General features: G+C 38.3%; 1 protein-coding gene across 8 annotated transcripts in view, besides 1 other annotated feature; it reads left to right on the top strand.

Annotated features, from left to right (window-relative positions):
• Positions 8,624–8,873: a silencer, noted in NCBI's record as "silent region_12206". NCBI's record gives its function as "represses an Ori minimal core promoter by ATAC-STARR-seq in GM12878 lymphoblastoid cells {active_cell/tissue: GM12878}" and the evidence as "EXISTENCE:reporter gene assay evidence [ECO:0000049][PMID:35858748]".
• PGAP1 (post-GPI attachment to proteins inositol deacylase 1) overlaps positions 8,822–19,635 on the top strand; it is a 93,704-nt gene continuing 82,890 nt past the window's right edge. For 5 of the 8 annotated variants that reach the window (XR_007082522.1, XR_001738960.2, NM_001321100.2 and 2 more), the window contains exons 1-3: positions 8,822–9,059; positions 15,379–15,532; positions 18,936–19,111. Coding sequence is in view for 2 of the 8 variants with exons in the window: in NM_024989.4 (NP_079265.2) it covers positions 8,913–9,059; positions 15,379–15,532; positions 18,936–19,111 (477 nt within the window). In the remaining 6 variants the exon portion in view is untranslated. Of the gene's footprint in view, positions 9,060–11,874; positions 12,453–13,333; positions 13,427–15,378; positions 15,533–18,935; positions 19,112–19,635 lie in introns of those variants that run through there. The other 3 variants (NM_001321099.2, XM_017004993.2, XM_017004992.1) reach the window with 3 other exon arrangements.

Genomic DNA, 19,635 nt, shown 5'->3' with positions numbered 1-19,635 from the left:
TCTACTCTGTAGAATCTGGCTTATTTTCAAATAAGTTAAAAACAAATCTTTATTGAATGCCTATTATATATAAGGCACTAGGAGGTATAACTAACAAGTTTGAGAAAGAGCTTTAAAGCAATTGAGTGGAATAAATGTAAGCTTCTAAGAGTCAATCTACTACATATTTGGGATTTTTTTTAAAGGAAAAGAATTAAATAAAGCTTAATTTAAAAACCTATAGTGTGAGGGAAGGGCACTGAGATCAGCATAGTTTAGTGAAATTAGTTTTAGAAAACAACTAGATTTCCATACCAGACTGCGTGATTCCTTATTCCTGTGTATAAAATCTAGGTAATATGAAGGTGGTTACTCTGTGTTAAGAAAATAGTCTTTGCCTCCAGTAAATAAAATGAGTAAATGTAAAAGGTTTTCTAAGAAGCTAATATTCTAATGATTTTACTAAATATTTCAGTTGAGGGATGATTGCCAAATGATTTCAATATGGTCTTTTCCTTTATGAAAGGTTACATTAACTAAAGTTTAAATAGCTTTGATTCATTTAAAATATAAGTCATAAACTTTCAGAAATCATTTGTCAAGTACCTTCATTTTACATATGAAAAAAATGAGGCCTAGAGAAATAGAGGAACTTGCCCCAAATCATACCTGCTTGGCAGAACTGAAAGTTCTAGAACTCGTATCTCCTCATCCAGTACTCATTATATCTTCACTGAGGTTTCAATTTATAAATATTATAATTTCATATAATTCTTAGGAACTCATCTATTGTTTAAAAATGAGATACACACTATAAGAAATAAAAACATATGAACATGTATCCAAATAAAAAACTGCTAAACATGGCCTTAACACCATATGTAAGTTTTGAGTGAACTATGAAGCTGCCTGCTTTTCAGAAAGTACCAGAAACAAACATTACCTGAAGAATGATCAAAAAGCCTGTCAGTACCTTGAATTGTGGAAGACCACCCTCTCAATTCTTTCAGCTGCAGCCATCTATCCATTAACTCATTCACTCAATATTCCAAGAAGTACTCAGAGTCCCGATTACAACATTGTGTACATAACTAACTCTTCTCCAGGGTCCCTTTCCCCCTAAACAGTTAAATATTTCCTCTTTTTCATATGTCATATTGAAAACTACAGAATGTCAATAAAAATCTTTTAAATGACCAGAGATGAAAGGCAGTTTTTCCACACAAAAAAAATAGCAATCTGACTGTGAATAGACTTTTTATCAGCAACAACAGATGTCAGAAAATAATAGAAAACTATCTTCAAAGTACTGAGGGAAATGAACCATCTATCCAGAATTTTATACGCAACTAAATTATCACAGAAGGGTGAAATAATAACATTTTCAGATGTACATATTTTAGGAGAGTTTACCCATAAACCCTTCTTGAAAGAACTACCAAAGATCTAATTAAGCAAAAGCAAAAATGAACTATGCATGGAGGAATAAAATATAAGAAGCAATGGATATTACAATGCAAATGCTATAACCAATTTGTAGGCTTTCTCTCCTCACTCTCCAAGTGTAAGAAAGGTGCCAAAAGTGATATGTAACTGGTTATTCTCCCAGTAAATCAGGAAATTCTCTTCTCAAATGCTGAATACAAAATCATAATAAGTTAAACATTATGATCTATACATTTTAAGATATTTTAATGTATCATATAATGACATATATTTTAAAACTTTTAATATGATATAACATGTTATATGTTTGTAGGAGGGGTGCAGTGGCTCAAGTCTGTACTCCCAGCATTTTGGGAGGCTGAAGCAGGCAGAACACTTGAGCTCAGGAGTTCAAGACCAGCCTGGGCAACATGGCGAAACCCTGTCTCTACAAAACAAAAACAAAAACAAAAAATCAGCCAGGTGTGGTGGTGCATGCCTATAGTCCCAGCTACTCAGGAGGCTGAGATGAGAGAATCACCTGAGCCCAGGAGGTCGAGACTGCAGTGAGCCATGACCATGCTGTTACACTCCAGCCTAGGTGACAGAGTGAGAACCTGTCTCAAAACAAACAAACAAACAAACAAACCCAAACACAACTGTAAACATGTCTGAACGAAATTTCAATTTATTTGATATAGTGATTGCATTAGTAATAGTGATAAAATAGTTTCGATTAAAACTTTATTGAAACAATTTTGGAAAGTAGAGAAAAAATTAAAAGAATGCTGAAATGATCATTCATAATCTCATTACCAAGGGGTAAATAGTGTTAACATTTTTTCACATTCCCTGAAGACACTTTTCTATGCATTTTGTATAGTTGAGAATAACTATATATACAATTTTGTTTCCTAAATGTTTCCCTTACAGTCCTACATTTTTTGTATGACAGGGATGATTATCCCCGAGGGATTACCCCTGATTATCCCCATTGTACAAAATTCCTTTCTTCTTATTGTCCTTTTGAATAGGTAGTCTGTATTCCTCAGCCTACTACCTATAAGACACTTGGGCTGTATCAACTTTGAAAACTTTTCTTTGATTTTTAATGCATCTTTATTCTCTGGCACTGAAAAATCTGAATTCCTAACAATAGTTTTATCGTAAGTATTTGTTATAGTTAAATTTATTGTTTCAATTTTCAATTATAGAATTGCTTTTAAATTATTTTATTTTCTACTGGCTACTGCACTTTTATGGTTCAAAGTCAAAAGATATATAGAGAGGTGACAGTCCATGTTCTGCTGCTGTACTACAGGCTTGGTAATTAATTTATAAAGAATAGGTTTATTTGATTTTGGAGGCTAGGAAGTCCAAGAGCTGGCATCTGGAGAGGGTCATCCTATGGGTGGAAGATGGAAGGCAGAAGCGAGTACACAAGACAGAGAGAGGTACCAGGGGCCAAACTTGCTTTATAATAACCCACTCACACAATAACTAACCTGCTCCTTTGATAGTAACATTAATCCATCCATGAATGATCTGCCTTCATGACCCAAATCACATCTTATTAAGCCCCACCCTCCTAATACTATTGCATTGGGGATTAAGTTTTTAACACATGCACTTTATGACACATTCAAACCATAACACACACACACACACACACACACACACACACACACAAATCCATAGATAAGTTTTGTTTCTACTCCTGTCCCCTTCACCTCATTTCCTCTGCCTCTAGGTAACACTTACTTTCATTTTCCTTCCAGTATTTCTCTTTCTCACACAAAAGACAACATACATATATACTGTTCTGCACCTTGTTCTTTCCCTTAATGATATAATCTTGGGAACCTTTCCATTTTAGCTGACTGACCTGTTCTTCATTAGTTAACCAAATATTCTTTATAGTTCTTTATAATGAAGAATATAAAAAACTCCTTTTCTTTTATTCTTCTACCTGGACTAAATACACAGTTCTTGTTGGTCTGAATTAGAGACTCTATGCCATGCAGTCCAGCTGGACTTTGATGTAAGCTGAATCTTCCTGAACAATTAGCTCTTAATACTTCCCATTTCGGTAGCTTCCACTTACCTATTGTATAAAACTCATATTCTTTTTTCTACTCTGTTTACTGCAGTTTTGGCTCCTATTTACCTTTCTAGTTCTATTTACTCTAAATCTTTATTTAATAGTCTTTGCTATGTGAGTCCTGGTTCAAAAGAATCACCTAGATCAATGAGAGATATCCCACCTTCCAACCTCCAAAGCAGGATTTGGATCTAAATTGACAAGAGGAGTTATAACCAGTAGTGACTAGCTAAAAGGTTGGTTAAATTTGGAGTTGGGAGTGGCCATGAGGGAACTGTGTACACCCTGAAGTCGGCATGTGTACTAACTTGTCAGCTTATTCTGGATTCCCAAGTTCCTTTTTACCTTAAAAAAAAAAATCCCCATTTTAACTGGAGTTAGTTTGTGTTCTTGCAACCAAAAGAATCCTGACTAGAGTTCACGCTCTGAGGGGCCACTAAAGGATTTTTGCTGGAAAGTAGAATGATGACTGGGAATAAAATCATGGGATTAATAAAATGTAAGGGATAAGTAAAAAAAGTAAGTCACATGAGATGGAGACTGAGAGGCTACATCAACAGGAGAAAACCAGTGGAAAATGATGTTACAGAAGACAATGGAGGGCATTGTTTTAAGAAAGAAGTGGCAAATGTAGTAGAAGGATCAAGTAAGACTGAAAAGTGTAAACTGGATTTGGTAATTAGGTCAATGGTTACCTTTGCAAGAAAAGTTTCATGGGAGTGGGAGGGGGGCAAAAATTACAGTGTAGCTGAGACATGAAGGGGAGATGAGGAATTAGACATAAGTATTGATCACATCTTTAGGAATCCTGACTGAGATGAGAAGAGCTACAGGTGAGAGCCACGAGGAAGATTTTTGAAAAAAAACAACAACACATATTTATATGCTTTGGGGAGGGAGGATAGAAAGGGAGAGATTGATAGAGCCCTTAACCTGATAGAACTAACTTCCTGAAAAGAAAGGAGCATGAGATGGGAACATAAAACATAGCTAGAGAGATGTGCTTTTTATGTCCTCTAAGGATAGCAAAGTACCATGGTAATGCTTACTATATGCCAGTCATTGTGCCAAACACTTCAGATGTATTAACTGAATTAGGACTGGGTGAAGATAATGAACTTAGGAATGAGAAGCTGAAGCAATGTGCATCTGAAAATCAAAATTATCTCTGTAATATGAAGATAAGGTTATGTACTAAAAACCTACTAAAAGAGAAGGAAGAAGAAATGTAGGGAGCTTAAAAAGTGGCAGGGAACTTAAAAAGTGGTGGTCTGAAATATAGAAGAGGAAGGTGGTGACCAGAAACATATATAAGTATTTTTTGAGACAGAGTCTCATTCTGTTTGTTGCCCAGGCTGGAGTGAAGTGGTGAGATCTCGGCTCACTGCAACCTCTGCCTCCCAGGTTCAAGCAATTCTCGTGCCTCAGCCTCCCCAGTAGTTGGGATTACAGGCGTGCGCCACCACGCCTGGCTAATTTTTGTATTTTTAGTAGAGATGGGGTTTCACCATATTGGCCAGGCTGGTCTCGAACTCCTGAGCTCAGTCAATCTGCCCTCCTCGGCCTCCCAAAGTGCTAGGATTACAGGCGTGAGCCCTGTGCCTGGCCAAGTATTTTTGAAGAGTTAATTCAAATGACTGTGTCATTTTCTCTAGCAGTAGTCAGATACAGTAGTGTCAGAGCTCAGAGCCAGATTATATTGTCCCAAGGTTGGAAGTTTGTAAGTAGAGTGGGATAGAAAGACAAGCGGTCAAGACAGTTGACAGCTCTGGCAGAGGGTGGTTGAAGTGATGCTCAGTAGGGTTAGGTTAGATATAAAAGTAAAGCTAGGAGTGGATAATGATGGATAGGAGAAAAGACAGTAAAAAATTAGGATAGAAAGATTACAAACATGAAGAATCCATTGACTCTCTATCCCACTCCTTTCTGAGTGAACAGTCAATGCAGCTAGTTGCCACAACTCATGAAGGCCACCAAAAGAGGAAGCTCTGTCATCTTGGAGTTCAGGGATTTCTCCATAGAACAGAGTCCTCAGGCAGTACAGGTCCGTGCTATTCAAAGTGTAGTCCACTGACCAGTATCATTGGCATCACCCAGTAGTTTGTCAGAAATGCAGAATTTTGGGTCCCACCCCAGAACTGTTAAATCAGAATCTTCTTTTTTTTATTTTTATTTTTTTGATAGAGTCTCGCTCTATTGCCCAGGCTGGAGTGCAGTGGTGGGATCTCAGCTCACTGCAACCTCCGCCTCCTGGGTTCAAGTGATTCTCCTGTCTCAGCCTCCCAAGTAGCTGGGACTATAGGTGTGCACCACCATGCCCAGCTAATTCTTTGTATTTTTAGTAGAGACGGGGTTTCACCATGCTGGCTAGGATGGTCTCAAACTCCTGACCTCGTGATCCGCCCACCTTGGCCTCCCCAAGTGCAGGGATTATAAGCATGAGCTACTGTGCCCGGCCCAGAATCTGCTTTTTAACAAAATCTCCAAGTGATTCACATGCACATTAACTTTAAGAAGCACTGAGATAGAGATGAGGGAGTATGGATTCACCCTGGGTTTATTTGTCATAATACTACTCCTACCATGCTAGGAGAAATAAAGAGGAGACGTTCTGCCTTTGATGTTCTTTAGCACCCAGACTCAATGTATTCCCCCCTTTTTATTTATAACTTAAAGCCTTCCCCAAATGATTTGTAATCCTCTGCACTCACTGGTAATTGCATCCCAAACCCCACATGCATTCTCTTTTATGGTCAACAATGTCAAAACCCTATAGTATATATTCCTCTTTATCACATTTATCTCTTAACATCTTGCGATCAAAATGGGTTCTTCTTGATAATCCAGTCATGTTGGTGTAATTCTACAAATTTAACACATTCTATACCTATTAATAGAATATAACAGACATGACATTCCCAAGTGAAATCACCACTTCATAAAGAATTTCAGGCTGGGTGCTGTGGTTCACACCTGTAATCCCAGCACTTTGGGAGGCCGAAACAGGTGGATCACTTGAGGACAGAAGTTTGAGACCAGCCTGGCCAACATAGCAAAATGCCTTCTCTACTAAAAATACAAAAAGGTAAGCCGGGCACAGTGGCTCATGCCTGTAGTCCCAGTACTTTGGGAGGATGAGGCGGGTGGATCAAGAGGTCAGGAGTTCGAGATCAGCTTGTCCAACATGGTGAAACCCCGTCTCTACTAAAAATAAAAAATTAGCCGGGCATGATGGTGTGTGCCTGTAATCCCAGCTACTCGGGAGGCTGAGGCAGGAGAATTGCTTGAACCAGGGAGGTGGAGGGTGCAGTGAGCCGAGATCGCGCCACTGCACTCCAGTCTGGGCAACAGAGCAAGACTCCGTCTCAAAAAAAAAAAAAAAAAAAAAAAAATTAGCCAGGTGTGGTGGTCACACCTATAATCCCAGCTACTTGGAGGCTGAGACACCAGGATCACTTGAATCCGGGAAGCGGAGGCTGCAGTGAGTCAATATCGCGCCACTGCACTCCAGCCTGGGCGACAGAGCAAGACTCCGTTTCAAAAAAAAAAAAAAAAAAATTAGCCAGGTGTGGTGGTCACACCTATAATCCCAGCTACTTGGAGGCCGAGGCACCAGGATCACTTGAACCCGGGAAGCGGAGGCTGCAGTGAGTCGATATCGCGCCACTGCACTCCAGCCTGGGCGACAGAGCAAGACTCAGTCTCAAAACAAACAAAAACGACACGTCTCATACAGGACTTACTTCAATGACATATTACTTAATTGCCCTCCTGATCAGTACCACCTACAGCTCCCCTGTTATCCTGGTCTTTCCAGACTTATCTCCCTACAAAAAAGGAGACTGCTTCCGCATTTTCCCATTTCTGTCTTTCTCCGTCAATACTCCACATTCCGTAGCTAGCTGTGTTTGTTTAGACTTGCAACTGTTTCTGTGCAGGGTAAAGACTATCTTGATTTTCAGGATCACTCCACTTCTTCTTCATAGTTTCGTAATCTGAACATCAGGGTGTTGTACAAGATAAACTATAAGCTTCCTTTTGGTTTTAAAATTCTTTGATTTTATGTATTGTAGCCAAACTTCCTCTGCACAGAAAATATACCAGAAAATCAGCCCAAGTTCAATGAAATTCATTTAGTGCCAAAGACCATTCTAAGAATCCTGTGGTTACTACACACACACGCACACACACACCGTCTACTGTTGAGTCAGCTTTAAAGAGTGATGTCTTTTTCCTAACATTCTAGTGTTTTGAAGCTGCTACAAGTGATTGATTTCGAGCTTTTTTTAAAAACTCCTCCTTTGTACAAAACAGAACCGAAATTCTTCAAAACGAATTAAGTCATTTGCGAGTTTGAATGGAAGCTGGACGAAATTGCCTCCTCCAGTTAACGTGGAACCCATTCCCCAAGAGATGGAGGTTCTGGAGAGCAAGGCGAGTCAGCGTCAAACTGATTACGCAGATACCTGTTGGGGACGTCAGTGCTAATAGATATTTTGGTAACATATTTTAAGGACTAACGATGCTTTTTGTGATTCAGGCTTTCATCTGATACCAAGAGCAGAATCTCGTCGGCTTGCGGGTGTTTTTTTTTTTTTTTTTTTTTTTTTTTTTAATGAGCCGGTGCTTTTAAGCGCTGTTACCTACTGGGCCCAAGTAGGCGGTAGAAGAGGGAAAATAAAGCCATTTGTTCCCTCTTCAAGCTAACTGCTCCAGAGAGCTGTGAGTGTGCTCTACTACCGTTGGGAAAACCGAAATTGCGGAGGCCTGAGTCTTTTCAAAATTGAACGGGAAGCGTTTTTAAACTGCCGCAGGGAGAGGCGTTTGCGAGGTGACAGCTGATGACCCCTGGGCTTTTAAGTCCTCCTCCCCTCTCTCGGTCCGCTCTCGGTCCTTAATCGCCTCTGGACTCTGGGCTCTAGTCCCCTCCCCAGATTCACCCATCTGACACCCGCCTCCTGCCCAATCCCCCGGCTCGTCTCCAGGGCTCCCGCGCTCCGCCCATCCCCCTCTGGATGCTTCCTCTCTCTCTCTTCTTTCCCTCCCGCCAGCCACTCCTCGCGTCTTTCTCTCCCCACTTCCCTTCTTTCCCCTCACCCTCCAGCCCAGCCCACCCTGCTTTCTCCCTCTTTCTCTTTCCCGTAGATCCGCGCTCGCGCTGCAACACCTACTCCTCCCTCGGCTCTGGGAGTCGCCAGGCCAGAGGCGCCGCGGACCTGGTGCGCGCAGGCGCACTGCGCGGCTGGCGAACGGGCAGGCCGGGCATCAGCGCAGGCGCGCGCGGCTGGGGCTCGGCTCCGGGGGTGGCGGTCGGACAGTGTCTAGCACGCTCAGTCCGGGCTTGGGGCCCCGCGGCGGAGAAGGAGGTAGAGGGGGCGGCGGCGGCGGCGGCGGTGGTGGCGGCACCATGTTTCTTCACTCAGTTAATCTCTGGAACCTGGCGTTTTATGTCTTCATGGTCTTTCTGGCAACCCTGGGGCTGTGGGATGTCTTCTTCGGCTTCGAGGAGAATAAGTGCAGTATGAGCTACATGTTTGAGTACCCGGAGTATCAGGTAAGGTTCTGCCCTCTCCTCAGCCGGGCGCTCCAAGACTCTGGCCCCTGGTGCCTTTTTCCTTCTGTGGGTTCGTCCTGCCTTGGCTCTCTGCGCCTCTCGGGCCCCCTGTCCCGTCCTCGCCTCTGTTTTCTCCGCCCGGGGAGACTCTGCATCCCCCTTCTGCCCCCCTCACCTCCCCTTTGTGTCCCTTCTTCACGGTGGGGTGTTTGTTAGACGATTTCCCGAGAGCATCCTCGTGGTCGTCCTCGTAGTTACTCCGCTGTCCCTCCGCCTCCTCCCCAGCCCCAAATCCTGGGCACAAGCTCTTCTGACTGGCCGGGCCCAGCCCCCCTCATGCCCAGAGAGGCAGCCTCAACCCTTCTCCCTAAACCGAAGCTCCATCCCTCTCGCGTTCTTGCCTTAACCCGTGCCCCAGGACCTTCCTTTGCTTCCCACGCGCCTAAATTCCCCTCGCGCCCGGTGATCTGCTCGTCAGATTTCGCATTTCTAGAAAGGGACCGAGCGTCTGCAGAGTGTATATTGGCTAGATAGTTCCCAAGGCTGTTTTTAGAGACTCCAGGGTTTTGCCTATGGGTAAACTGGCGAGTCATTGAATTGGAAACTAGATCCCCTCTTGGAAAGATGTTGCAGATCCTCTTATTTTGCAGGTTAAGGGGCCGTGCGTGTGTGGGCTTGCCTGTGTGTGTGCATACCTGTGTTTATGCATGTCTCTCAGCAGCCGAGCCTCTTAATAGTTGCATACAAAATCTATTTCATGGTGCTATTTTTGTTTTCTCGCTGGGTTCGGAGTTTAAGAGAGAGCCAACCCTTCTCTCTCCACCCCTACCGCTTCCATGCCATTTTGAATGTTTTCAATCAATGGCTTCGTTAGTTCGGCATAGTAGGATCTAGAATTTCATTCATGACTAGCTGTAAAAAGAGGCGCAGACAAATTACACAACTGTCCTAAGAGAATTTTTCCGAATGATTCTTTTATTTCTAAGTGCATCTCTTAATTATGGACTACCTATTGTAATAATTCCCTACCATAAAATGTATATGCACTATAACATATATTGATAAAATACATTTTTAGTATACTCTTAAAATCACAGCAGTTTTTTTTTTAGGGTGAAGGATGCAAGTCCTGATTGCTTCTTTGTACAAGTCATTATGGAGGAAGCCTGTTACTTGATTACGCTGCTATTATTTTGATCTTAAGACTACTTAAGGTTTAAATTGCTGAAGAGCATTCTTTCCCATGGGAAAAATTCTAGTAAATTTAGATTTCATTTGTGTTTAGATCCTTACCTTGGTTTTGCATTTATGATGATAAGAGAGTGGAAACATTTGGTAGGGATGCTATCGAAGGAGAAGATTTTGACATGTTACTGTCGTCTCTGTTCATTTCTAAGCAAACCTTTTTAGTTTAGTATTTTAAAAAACTGAAAATAGAGCTATTATAATTCCCTCCTTATTTTTGGTTTAATAATTAGGAAACTCCCAATAGATTGAAGTAGGTCACTTTAGTTTTGTACCGCATTGAAGAGTTTGGTTAAAATCATTTTGTGACAGTACAGTACTAATTCCCATTTATTTTTAGATTTCCTACAATTATTGAAGCTATTTTAATATTCACAGAAGTAGAAATTGTTCTCTTTAGCGTTGGGAACAAAGCATATGGATCTCACAGACGCATTTCCTGCCTCATAAATTGACTGGAAAAACAGAAAATTAGTGTAGCTAATGGTAAAGAGCTCTTTGGGTTTTTATTGTTGTTGAGTAGTCTAGGTTTAGTTATTTTGGTTTAAGTTGCTTTTTTGGGGTTTTACACTTCTATTAATAATTTGCTAATACAGTAATAATCACAGTGGCAGAAGTTTTTGATTTTTAGCAGGTTTTTATGATGTAAAAAGCTGTGTTAATTCATGATAGTATTTATATTGTATTCTTAAGTCTTTTTGTTTTGCATACCAGGTCATGTTATCTTACAAATACAATTAAAACCAGCCTATAGAAATGAGTCATTTTGAACATAGTGAGATTTCTGGATAAATGAGGCCATTCTGTTGAGAACCAAATGGCTTTCATGAATAAAAATGTTTTAAAGATATTTTACATATTGCTTACTTTTAATTATATTTTATAGTCAGCTCTCTAATTGTTCACAGGTTGATACCCAGATGTGAGATGTCCTAGTCATTGGGTTTTCTTCTTTCTTTTGATGCCTTTCTTTTTTTTTACTGCTCATTTGCATCTTCTTTAGTTAGCCAGCAGAAATAGAAAGGTGGTTGAAACACATTCAGTTTTATTATCCATTTTTTTAAAAGATGGGGCATAAATTTGAAACTCTTTGCAAAAATGAAGTTTTGAATTTAAAATTGTTTGATTATCTCTATTCATCTTCTACCTCTGGTTTTCCCAGATTCACTTATTCAGAGTTAATTGAACATCTCACGAACCCATATCTCAAGCCTACTAGGCAAAATATACTTTATCCTTTAAAGCTTCTTGCCCTATTACGACAGCAAGGCAAAACTTTTATTTGGTAGCAAATGGTTTTAGGCAAATTGCAGAATTTTAGAAGAAACGTCTGAGTTGTTTCTCTCATACAGTGATTTGTCTGGCTATCTTCGTATGTGTAACCTAACGGTTGCTCTCTGAAAGGAAATGTTGGCGTGCGTCTATAGTCGCAGGTACTCAGGAGGCTGAGGCTGGAGAATCGCTTGAACCAGGGAGGCGGAGGTTGCAGTGAGCCAAGATTGTGCCATTTCACTCCAGGCGGGGCGACAGTGAGACTCTGTCTCAAAAAAAAAAAAAAGAAAGAAAAAAAGAAAATATGAGTCATATATTTTGTTATTAAGTGTGTTATTTATTTAGAAAGTCATTTATTGAATGACTAGTCTTTGCCAGGTATATCTAGCTACTTGGTGTAGGTGAAAGGGAATTAGAACTAAATTATACCTTGTGTCTTTATGTCTTGATAAATACAATGGGGGAAATGGGCATGTAATGTATAGTTACAATATAATGTACTGAGTTTTATAATTTCACAATAAGAGAGTATGTACAGAGCTTTTCATATAAGGGAGAGCATCCAAGTTTGTCTTGGGTGTTCAAAGGCTTTAGAGAAGATGCAAAGTGAACTGGGACATGGAGGGTGTATGAAGTACTGAAAGAACATTGCAGGCATAAATAGTATATGTGAAGGTGGTAATGCGCTGGGACACATTGCATGAACAGTATTTATAATATATTATCATTTATGTTAAAACTAAAAAATAATCGATAAACATATTTGCTTGTATATATGTAAAATATCTCTAGAAGCACACACAAACTGATAACAGGTTGCCTTTTAGGGTCAACTGGATGGCTGAAGGACCATGGGTAGGAGAGAACCTTTTCAATGTATATCCTTTTGAATCTTGAATTCAAAAACATATTAAAAATACATTTTAAAGCATGTCATGTGTAAGTTATAAGAAGGTAGGTAAGGGCGGGATGAGGTGGCTCACACCTGTAATCCTAGCACTTTGGGAGGCCAAGGCGGGCAGATCACTTGAGCCCAGGAGTTCAAGACCAGCCTGGATAACATGGCGAAACCCTGTCTCTGCTAAAAAAAAAATTCAAAAAATTAGCCAAGTGTGATGGCATGTGCTGCCTGTAGTCCCAGCTACTCAGGAGACTGAGGTAGGAGGATCACTTGAGCCCGGGAAGTCGAAGCTACAGTGAGCTGAGATTGTGCCACTGCACTGCAGCCTGAGCAACAAGAGTGGGACCCTGTCTCAAAAAAAAAAAAAAAAAAAAAAAAAGTAGGTAAGAATAATTAGAGCCAGATTTTAAAGGATGTCTCTCTCTTAAGCTTTGTTGTGTGTGTGTGTGTGTGTGTGTGTGTGTGTGTGTGTGTCTGTGTGTGTGTGTGTTAGCAGTATGAACTATGGATTATAGAAGGGAGACGAAGGCAAGGATAGAGACAAGTCTGAAAAATTCAGTTGTCCTTAAGGCCTTTTTTTTTTTTTTAATGGAGCCCCTATAACTATTCTTATGGGGGATGGTGAGCAAAGGCCTTACTGAGACCTCTTTGTGAGAACTTAAAAACTATGTGAAGTTAAAAACTATGTGTATTCATCTAGATCAAAATCTTTTTTCTTTTTGGTTAGTTATGGAAATAAAACTTTATTTTTCAGTTTAAGTTTACAATTAAGTAATATCATAAAATAGATATTTTAGTTTCTTAAATCAGCATTTTTCTATTACCTGGGAGTTTATTAGAATTTTTACCTTTTGAGTTTATGTAGAGATGAGAAGAACCTGAACTAAGGCAGAGTCAAGGAAGGAGGACAGCAGAGGCAGGATTGTGGAGATAATATTTAAATACAAAGGTAATTGATCTTAATATGGTAGAGGGGTTGCTCATTTAAAATAAACTACATAGAATAAAAAATTTATATTGGAGTCCTGCTCCTGTAAGTATTTTCCTTTTATATCCCTTGACCGTCTTCTGTTTTCTTATCAGCATCCTATTTGTATGCCTATGCTTTTTCTGTCAATGTGGTCAATTACCTCTCCTGGGTCTTTGCTATTCCCTTTCAACTTGAACTCTGCCTGGAAATGGAGTTTTGCCATTTGCCTACAACTCCCACCATTCTTGCCTCCTCTCTTATTTTTTTGTTCTAACTTATTTGCCCATCTCCATACTTTTTGAAAAATTCTGTATATATTCATATTTTAAAAAATATTCTTTCTCACTATAAAATTGCTTTCATAATAGTATTTTATGAAGTATATAAAATATTTTTTGCTTGCTTTTCTGTCTCAAGAAAATTAAATATTTCTTTTTAGATATATTTGATAGTTTCCTGTTCTTCTGAGTTAATTTTCGACTTGTCCAAACTCTGTTTAGCTACTGTACTAAAAGAATAATGGTGTACTAAATTGGGAGGAAATAGGAAACTATTTCTTTGTTCTCTTATGTTTTCTTTTTATTTAATTTGTACCTAAAGAAGTAAACTATCACATCATTTTCATTTTTGATTGTATTCTGTGCACAATCAGTATTGGGACTAATTTGAATTGAAGTACATATACCAAATATAAAACGAATAGTGGGGTTAGTATTTCTGTATTTTGAGTATTTGGGGAGATAACTAAGATTGCTAGTATCTTAATAAGCTTACAGTCTCTGCAGATGTTTCTGTGGTGTTATTGGCATAAATTGTTTACAAAGGGATATTTAGGAAGGTGCACAAATGATCAGAATTTTGTTGTTTTGTGTGTGTGTGTTTTTTTTTTTTTTAGAACAACGAGGGTTTTCATTAGTCATTAGCAACATTTACAGGTTTTGAAATTCACTCCATAGTTAAATTCTTTTATCAAGCACATGCCACATGTACAGCACTGCTAGATCTATGTATACCTAAATAGACATTACCGTCCAATGTAATTGGTTTCACTCTTAATGGTTTCTCTCCTTTAAAATAAAAAAAGAAAAGGAGCAAAAGGGTGTATGTATACTTTACTACCACAGATGTCTACCTTTGAGGATGACATTAAGAGATAATTTATACTAAGCTGAAAAAAATGTAGGTGAACTACTGACTCAGTAGTTAGGTGAGCTGCTGTATTATTGGTATACAATAATATGAAGTGCAGGGTAGTTTAAAGTTTGCCAGCAAATCATGCACCTGGCCCATGAAAACTGAAATAGATACTAATTCACTGGAATGTTTATGGTAAGAAGAGTGTACATGTCTTGACCAAGACATGGCTATAAGGTTAAGATTAATTTGTTACACATATTGTAGGCCAAAGCATATTAAGTTGAGAAGTCAGAAAGCTGCATTATAAAACAACTTACTTTCTTTTGAAGATATAACAACTGAAATAGATAGTTGGGTCTGAGTAAAAGGAGAGACATTACAAAATAGTTAAAAATGGAAAAAAAGAATTGATTTGATGATGGAAAGCCTTTATCATTTCTAAGTATAATTGATACTTATCCAATTATGTTAACATGTAACTTGTCGACATATACCAGTGCTTTCTGCCATTGTCAGTGGCTATTTTGAGTAATTTGTATTGGTTAGAAGTTCACGTAGTCCTCTTTTATGTTTTCCTAAAGACTACATGGTTCAAAATATACACAATTCAAGACTGATTCTCTATATGAATAAACTACAAGTAGAACTTGTTTTGTGTATGAAGTGTGGTTTTAATATCAGTAATATTTTTATATTGCACTATTTCAAATTTGCGTAATTCAGAATTGCATATGGTGAGGCTGAATTGTATTAATAAAACTGATTAAAGTGAAACTACTTTTTTTTAAATGTAGAAAATAGAACTTCCAAAGAAACTGGCAAAACGCTATCCCGCATATGAGTTGTATCTTTATGGAGAGGGATCCTATGCTGAAGAACACAAAATTCTCCCTTTGACGGGTATTCCAGTTCTCTTTCTTCCTGGTAATGCTGGAAGTTATAAGCAAGGTAAGTCTTACTGGAAGTAAATTTTGAAAGCTATAAAATTCAACTCAAGAATTTGAATCATATCCATACTCGGTGAATCAAATAAAGTAAATGAAATGCATGCTGTGTGTGAAGTGCTGTGCTGGGCTTACAGAGAGACCAAAATATAATATTTTCTCTGAGAGAGAATAATGTGAGAAATACTTAGAAAAGTTGAAGACCACTTTGCAAAGAGAGGGGTACAAAGAATAAGATAGAGTAGGATGGGATAAGTAGATGATAAAGGGGAACCCCTTGGGGAATCAGCAGAGGAAACACATTTATGTTGGAAATGGAGGGTAAAGAGAACAGAACCTTAAGCATTGATTAGGGAAGTAAATCAGTGACTAATGTTATGCAGAACAAGAGAGATTCGTTTTCTTCTTTTGGAGTTATTTAAGTTAGAGAGATTTGGAAGTACTGGGGGGAACATAGAAAGGTGAGATAGGGAAGTTACGTGTACAGATTCCAAATTGATGCTGGCTTGGAGATACAGCAGTTATTTCTGGCGTAACAGCCAAATAACCTGGAATTAATTTCGTTTTAAACTAAAACCTGCTTTCTTGTTATTTGATGGACTAGAATTGTTATGTAATGAGACTAGAATTGTTTCAACATGTGCAATTATTTACGTGTTTATTCATCTAGCACGTGTCTACAGGTATCTACCATGAGCCAGGCTGTATTCCAGGTATTAGGGATCCAGAGCATATCAAGACAAAGTCCCTCTCTCATCAAATTTATATGCTTATCAGGAAGACAGCAATCAAACAAATATGTCAGTAATGTTAAAAGCTAGAAACAAAAACAGACTCAGGAGGTAGAAGATAAAAGGGTCAGGAAGTGGCTAGTTTAGATGAGGTGGTCAGGAAAGGCCATTGTGAGGAGATGACATTTGAGGAGATGCTTGACTGAGGGAAGGTCCTGAGGCAGGAACGTGTTTTGTGCATTGGAGGCTATCGTGACTAGAGAAAGTAAAAAGAGATAAGAATGGAAAAGTAACCACGGGCCATATCATATAAGCTGTGGAAAAGACTTTGAATGAGAAACTGTTGGAGAGCTTTGGGTAAGAAAAATATAACCTGATTTTTAAAAGTAATCTTTGTATTTGAAATATTACATACAGAGAAACACATAGAACATAGATATTTGGTTACAAATTATTATAAAGTGAACACCCGTGAAACCAAAACCCTAGTCAAGAAGTAGATTACCAGTAACCTGGAAACCCCTTCTGTGCCCCTTCATGATTAAAACTTTGTTCCCTTCTTTCTTGACAGAATCACAGTCCTAATGTTAAGAGAGTAATTTCCTTAACTTTCTTTGTAGTTTTAATGCAATCTATGTATATGAGGCTGTTTTTAAATTTTGTAATATGAATATAGTCATTCAGTATGTATTATTTTGTGTCTGGCTTCTTTCACTCAGCATTATCTTTAACATTCATCCAAGTTGTTGTGTGAGCTGTGATTCATTCATTTTCCTTACTCTGTATTATTCTGTAGTATGACTATACCATGGTTTGTCCATTCTGTCTTTGGACAGAATAAATGTTTACATTTATTGGCAATTACAAATAATGAATATTATTCCATATGTTTCCTGGAGCACATAAACCTGTGCTTCTGTAAGCTAGATACCCAAGAGTGTAATTCCATGTTACAGGTTATGTGTATCTTTTTAATCTTTACTGATTGTGCTAATTTATATTCCTAAAAGCAGTATATTTTACCTTCCTTTGCTCCACATCCTTTTACAACACCAGAATTGTCAGACATTAAATTTTTAAGCAACCTGGTAGGTGTGATTTACTTTTAAAAAAAGTTGCTCTGGCTTCACTATGAAGAGAATTTCCTTTGAAGGGCAAGAATGGAAGCAGGAAAGATGCTAAAACATCATAAGTCATCAGAGAACTATAAATAAAAAATGAGATAGCACTTCATACCTCCTAGGATAGTTATAATAAGAAAGATGGATAACAACAAGTGTTGGTGAAGATGTGGAGAAATTGGAACCCTCATACATTGTTGGTGGAAATGTAAAATGTGCAGCCACTTTGGAAAACTGTTTGGGAGTTCCTCAGAATATTGAACATAGAGCTCTCATGTGGCCCAAAAATTCCACTCCTAGGTATCTACCCAAGAAAAATAAACATATACCCACACAAAAACTTGTATATAAATGTTCATAGCAGCATATAATAACCAAAAGGTGGAAATAATTTAAATGACCATCAGCTGATAAATAGATGAATCAAATATGACATATTCATATAATGGAATATTATTCAATAAAAAAGAGGAATGAAGTACTGATACATGTCACAACATGGGTGAACCTTGAAAACATGCTATGTGAAAGAAGCCAGTTCCAAAAGGCCACGTATTATATGAGATATCCAAAATAGGCAAACCCGTAGAGACAGAAAGTAGATCAGTGGTTGCTAGGCCTAGGATTTGGGAGGAGTGAAGAAATGGGGAGTGACTGCCAGTAGGCACAGAGTTTTGTTTTTGAAACGATTAAAAAATATCTTATGTTAGATTTCAGAGATGGTTGTAAAATATATACCAGAGATGGTGAATATACTAAAAACCATCGAATTTTACAGTTTTATATAGTGAGTTGTATAATATGTGGATTATAATGTATCTATAGTATATGTTTTTACAAAATGAAATGGCAAACAGGTATTTTGTTTGCTAAACCATATGCTACAATTTTTGTGCCACCTAATATAAGCAATTTATAATATATTTTTTAAAAAGATTTGCAAAACAACAACAAGAACAAAAAGAGTGGAAGCAGAGAGACCAGTAAAGAACCTGTTAGAGTAGTTCAGATAAGAGATAATAGTGTTTGGATTAGGACAATAGTGGTGGGAATGGTGAGAAATTTCAACTGGGGATAGATTTGGAAGGTACATTATGAAAGCGCTTACTGATGGATTGGATGTCCTGTGTAGGAGAAAAAGACAAATCAAGCGTGAGTATCTAAACCAAGTGATGAATGGATATTTCTTGTAGGAACCTTGTCATTCTTAAAAACCTCAATAAGTGTGGCAAAATTTATATGTCTTATTCTTCAAAGAATCCTGCCCTTTTAGCTATTGTTGCTCCTACCAAAGGAAAAGAAGGTAGAGAGTGAGTGATCTGTTTGCTTTTTGTTTATTTAATTTTAAAAATATTTATGACACACTTACTGCATTCAAGGCATACAGTTGCTAGATTAGTTTGTTCTAAATTGGTGCTATTAATGAATTTCATCCTGAAATAGGTGGTTTATATTCGTGATGCAGGATAAGGTTATTTACTAAGAAATTCTGAAGAAAGAATGGATGAAACCTGTAAATATTGTTTAATGTGCACTTCACTCTTTTCCTCTGCAGTTCGTTCTATTGGCTCCATTGCACTTAGAAAAGCAGAGGACATTGACTTCAAGTACCACTTTGACTTCTTTAGTGTGAACTTCAATGAAGAACTGGTGGCTTTGTATGGTGGAAGTCTTCAGAAGCAGACCAAGTTTGTACATGAATGTATTAAAACAATTCTCAAACTCTATAAGGTGAGAGATAAGTATGCAAATCAATAGTGGTGCAACCTATCGGCACCTTTTTAAAAAAGGGATTCAGTATACTTTAAATCATGTATTTGTTTATATGGAAGTTGAAGCAGAGAAGGCACAAATTTTTTTTGTGAGAGTCTGTTGTCTTGGCCTCCGTAATGGTTTTGAAGTTTAAATTTATAAGAAACATTTCTTATGGTGAATTCAGGAAGAAAAACTTTTTAAAACTTTATATATAAATTAGGAGTAAAATGCATTACCTAAAAACCATTGGTATAGATTTCTACCTCTAGCTATGACTAAGTAACTGGTACTAGGATAGAACACCTGCATATGTAAACAACTGTAAAACTGGTCAAGATATGTGAAGCACCTGTTTTGAGATGTTGGACAACAGAGCAGCAAAGGACTATGATCCCTGGAAGAAGTAAGCTCCATGATTGCTCTGGATTTCTGCCCGGAAGCGTTTTCCAGACTATGGGGCAAGTAAGGGAGGTACATTGATATCACTTAGCTAAAGAAAG

The sequence above is a fragment of the Homo sapiens genome, chromosome 2 (genome assembly GCF_000001405.40).
Source record: "Homo sapiens chromosome 2, GRCh38.p14 Primary Assembly".
Taxonomy (NCBI): Eukaryota; Metazoa; Chordata; class Mammalia; order Primates; family Hominidae; genus Homo; species Homo sapiens.
Note: the sequence above shows the minus strand (reverse complement) of the source record. Positions and strands in the feature narration are given on the sequence as shown.